Source organism: Homo sapiens, chromosome 3, assembly GCF_000001405.40.
Source record: "Homo sapiens chromosome 3, GRCh38.p14 Primary Assembly".
NCBI classification, from domain to species: domain Eukaryota; kingdom Metazoa; phylum Chordata; class Mammalia; order Primates; family Hominidae; genus Homo; species Homo sapiens.
The window spans coordinates 148,752,804-148,758,069 of NC_000003.12; the positions used below are offsets into that span (position 1 = coordinate 148,752,804).

Here is a 5,266-nt window from a genome sequence, read left to right on the forward strand (position 1 = left end):
CACCTCCTGCTGCTTCTATTTGACAGGGACGACCCAATGGTTCACGTGTGGCAGGGCCCCTGTGCCCTGTGTGAGCATTCACCCTGAAGGCATGCTCATGGGGCTCATCCAATGGATGTTTTTAAGTCCAACAACCTTCTCAACTTTTTTCTTATCAAATTCAATTAACACATCACTGGACTTAGTTTTTATGTTCTCATATCCACAGATTTTGTAAAATTTAAAACAATATCTTCATTGTAAAATGTAAATCATTATGTGCTTAATACATATAATTACACATTCTAAATAACCACTTTCTCTATTTACACATACAGGCGTAAAAATTGTCAATGTTATTCATATAACCACGCATTTTTTAAAACTACTGGGGGTAGGTGACTAATTTTACAGATATTAAAAATTAACTTTTGTTCCTTTGAACTATATGTTATGTATAAAATTTCGGTGCCACCAAAGAAATAGCACTTGAATATAAAATTTTCTTTTTAATTCTCAGCAAGGCAAGTTACTTCTATAGAAGGGTGAGCCCTTACAGATGGAGCAATGGTGAGCGCACATCTGGACAAGGGAGGAAAAGGGATTCTTATCCCTGACGCACATGGCCCCTGCTGCTGTGTTGTTCCCCTGTTGGCTAGGGTTAGACTGCACAGGCTAAACTAATTCCGATTAGCTAATTTAAAGAGAGTGATGGGGTGAGTGCTTTGGCAGGAAAAAAATGGTTATGCAGGGTGGAGAATAATGAGTCAGGGTGGAGCAGGTGATTGGAATGAGTCTGGGTGGAGCAGGTGATTGGAATGAGTCAGGGTGGAGTAGGTAATCGGAATGAATCAGGGTGGAGTAGGTAATAGAAAAAGGTTACTTTACGAGGAAGTTAAGTTTAAAAGTAGAAGGCAAAGAATTGAACATACTGACATATTAATTCTTTGAAGAGAAATTCAGAATTCATATTTAACGTATATGTTATTTTTATAACTTCTAATAGTAACAGCCATATCCAGATGTTGTTAGAAGCAATAATGTAAAGGATGCAATCCACACCCTGTGCTTATCTAGATTTTTTTTTACTTAAGAATATCAAAAACTTGCATCAAAAAGTATATTTTTCTGATGAGAGCCCAGAACCCGCTCTTTAGATGAGAGAACCCAGTATTGCTCCCCCTTATTTTCCCTCTCCGTATTCAATGCCTTCCAGAAAAGTTATGACTCCAAATTAAATTTGAAATTATTCTCTGAATCCTTTTTCCAAAAAGTCCTTGTTATTTTCTTATTCAAGATATAAACCCAAGGTGTTCTACTTCAAGAAAAGAGATCTGTAATTTTTTTTTTTTTTTTTTACCTGAACCCAGCACCATGATCTGGTGACTATATTGGGAAGGATTCTGGAATATTGCTCTAAGCAAATTCAGGAGTAAGTATAGGATATACTACCTACACGCATTTGGGGCTCATTCCAAAGGTTGCCTGGAGAAAAACACCAGGTTAGAATTATGTAAATAACTAACACCTGGAGTCTTCTGCCACTCTCATTAGATCCAGGTAAAACTGCTGTGACTCCACCTCATCAACCCTAAAATCCATAAAGGTCTGGCCGGGCGCGGTGGCTCACACCTGTAATTCCCAGCACTTTGGGAGGCCGAGGCGGGTGGATCATGAGGTCAGGAGATCGAGACCATCCTGGCTAACACGGTGAAACCCCGTATCTACTAAAGAAATACAAAAAAATTAGCCGGGCGTGGTAGCAGGCGCCTGTAGTCCCAGCTACTCGGGAGGCTGAGGCAGGAGAATGGCGTGAACCCAGGAGGCGGAGCTTGCAGTAAGCCGAGATCGCACCACTGCACTCCAGCCTGGGCGACAGAGTGAGACTCCGTCTCAAAAAAAAAAAAAAAGTCTGGGTCTTTTCCCCTAGATCTCTGCAAATCCTGAGGGGACCTCCAGGTTTCACAGATGGAGTTCCCCTTGATGCTCCCAGGATCAACATCTGGGGGAGAATAAAGGAAACGGGACTGGGAAGAGGATGACTTTGGCCTGCGAGGAGATGATCTCAACGCAGGTCTGAGACAATCCCACAGGGAGTTCTGGGGCGGAATGGCCGTGCACAGTTACACCAGGTTGGGGTGTAACCACTATACCTTTATAATAGAGCTGATCTTTCTACCCCCACATTGACCAGTCTGTGGATGTGGTCTGCCCTCAGGAACGCATTCCACCAAGATAGCTCTCTCCAGCAGAGGACAACTGTCCTGATAAGGAAACTGGGCTCTCAGCTGTGGGCCACAAATCCTCCCAGCCCCTGAGGGATGAGTGTCTCAGCACTGAAAAAAGGATCTGGGCAGAGCCCTGTGGTGTCCACCCCACAGCCTGGAGGAGCGCTTAGCTCCTCCGCCACCTCCTCTTTTTCCCCTTCTCCTTTCTTCTCCTGCTCCCCCATGGGCTCCTCCTTTAGCACAAACTGCTTCCATTCTACACCACATCGCCCTGGGGCAAAACACAGCTCTTTCTTCACTGTGCCTAAGAAACCCACTCACATCAAGTGCTTTTGTGTTTCATTCAATCTCCTCAAAAGGGGAGGAAGGTGTGCCGCATCCTGGAGTGTGGAGCCCTCTCTCGTTTCCCTAGCATCATACTCTTCCCCTCCTCCTTTCTATTCCTCCTCTCCATTCTGGATGCTGGAAGAATCTCCAAATTTCTTCTTAAGCAAGGTGAAAAAATGAGTTGGCTTTCCCCAGATTTTTTTTCCAAATCCTGAAAACCTACATAGCCCACAAGAAAAAGAACACAAGACTTTCCTATAAAAGAATTCACCTTTCATAGAAAACACTTGAAATTTAAAGTGCTGGAGTGATATTCCTGTTTCCTATAGATTGAAAAAAGAGACAGGGGGCTTCAAATAATCATAATCCAAATATTTTTTGAGGCCCCAAGCAATTCTTTTTTCCTATTGTGAAAAATTGTCAAGTCATGAAAACATAAGCACACAATCAGTATTGTTTCATGACCAAACTTGTCATGAAGTTATCCTGACCTAAATACATACTCAGATCATTCATTTTAACTTTCTATGTACAAACCTGAACAAAAGGAAGATCCATCTATCTGTCTTCTGTATTGACACAACTGGCTCTCTTAAAACTCTCTCCTCCCTAGCCTTCATGGATACTACACTATTCCGGATTTCTGCCAACATTCAGCCCACTCACATCTCCCCTTGTTTTGTACCTCTTCTGTCTCCTGTTTACCTGATGTAGGTGAGTACCAACACTAAGGAAGGAAGAAAAGGTATGTAGCTTAAACCCTCCCTGACTAAACAGCCTGGTGAAGACACTCCTGCCATCAATGGTTGACTCAAGTGCCACCCAGACTGTTGGCACTCGACACTGAGTTCTTCCCTCATCCCCTGCCCTCACTGACACTGCTGGACCGAGAGACCTGAGGGTAGGTTTATGGTGACAGCCCCAGAATTTTCCCCAAAACCTGCTGGCTTTTTTGCAGCACCAATTCCATGTTCAGCTGCTGGGCAACCAAAAAATAACAAACGAGCTCTCCAAAACACATTTGTTACCAAGAAGGAAAGGACAAGTTAAAAAATGATAATGATGAGAGTGCATTCTGGACACAATGGGAAAGTCATGACAGTTGCTGTTGGTGTCAGCCTACTGCCTGCCTCTGCATTGGGCTCCTGGCCTTCCTTCCTGTGGCCTCTTTCCCCACATCTCTTCACTAACCAAAGAGGTAACTCTTGGCTAATCTCTTACTTACCACAAAACTTAATTTCATAAATCTTCCCCCCCGTCTCTTACTTACCATAAAACTTAATTTCATAAATCTTCCCCCCGTCTCTTATCAAGTCAGATTTCAGTTACGTCAAAAGGCTCAAATAAACCTTCATATGTTATAAATTTTAGGAAAAGAAAAGTCCTGGGTAAGGTCTTCTCCAACCCCCTTATTTTACAGATGAAGTAAAATAAGTCCAATAAGACACCAAGTCCCCAGTAGGTGAGCCCAGGCATAGAGGAAGGTTTTCTGCTTTAACACAGGACAACGCTTTAAGAGCAACAGACCTTTAGAAATAGAATCCCAACTCTTAAATATCAGACAGAGAGGAGAGAACTTTGGAGCAGAAGATATTTCTAGGGCTCTTAAAATCACACCTTAGGCCAGCCCTGAGAATAGAAAAAGGCAATTAAAAAAAATGACAAATCACCCCCACCCAGGGGATCTGAAAAAGGGGAAAAGGGGAAGGTAGATTTGCAAGTAATTAGGAAGGAGAGGCTTAAAGGTTCATGCAGAAGCCGCTGTAATAAGCCATCCCAGCTCAATAGCAGCTTGTCCTATTTAATTCTTCACAGTGACAATGCCTACTTGCCCCCAGGGGTTACACCTTCCAGCTAGAGAGACACTGAGCAAAGCAAAGGGCCTGTGGCAGCGAGGAATCCAGTCTGCTTCTACCGCAGTGCTTCCCAAACTCTAAAAGCATTCAATACACTTCACCTGGGAATCTTGTGAGGCTGCTGATTCCGCTAGTAGGTCTAGGACAGAGCCTAAGAGTGTGTATTTCTTACAAGCTGCCAGGAGATTCTCTTGTTGCTGATTCGTGGGCCACACTTAAAGTAGTGAGGATCCAGTACATGAGGTCAGAGTTCAGCCAGAGTTTAAACTCAAATCTCCCACTCCTAGGCATGTAAACCACGTGCTCTCACCTCAGAAGTATTTCCTATATGTGAGAGTTATACCAGAATAAAACTTGGGGAGATTTTGCTCAAAACATGACTTTTATTATTTTGGTATGGTGATTATTTTTGAAATATCATTTAGACTGCTTGAGAAAAATAACAGAAATTCAAAACACTAAAAGTGTTCAAGCAAGAAAGCACTTCCAAACCACAAACCAAGCTACTATGCCTATTTCAACACTGGTGCTAGGGTTTCTGTAAGATCGCTCTGAGTCATCAAACATCTCCAAAGCATCTTTAGCTCTGTCCTTGCCATTTAACTTGATATTGCTTTGAGGAACAAGGTGCAATTTCTTGTCTGTAAATGAGAATGCTCGGACTTTTGTGCAGATTCAAAGACTCAGTCCGCGCAGCAACCCACAATCTCAGGCAGACTGTCAATTTAAAGATGGAGGGACAGAGCCATTATATCTCTTTCAGACTTTTATCTTCTCTCAAATGCATATGGATGCACAGCAAGCAAACCGCAATGCCACACTTGCCTGGTCATTGAATATCCTGCAGTGTACTTCTTAATTAAAACCAGCATCACA

At 42.9% G+C, this 5,266-nt stretch overlaps 1 annotated feature.

Moving 5' to 3' along the window:
* Window positions 2,261-2,762: an enhancer, noted in NCBI's record as "NANOG hESC enhancer chr3:148472851-148473352 (GRCh37/hg19 assembly coordinates)". NCBI's record gives its function as "activates a minimal SCP1, AML or CMV promoter by ChIP-STARR-seq in naive H9 embryonic stem cells {active_cell/tissue: H9 hESC(naive)}" and the evidence as "EXISTENCE:reporter gene assay evidence [ECO:0000049][PMID:30033119]".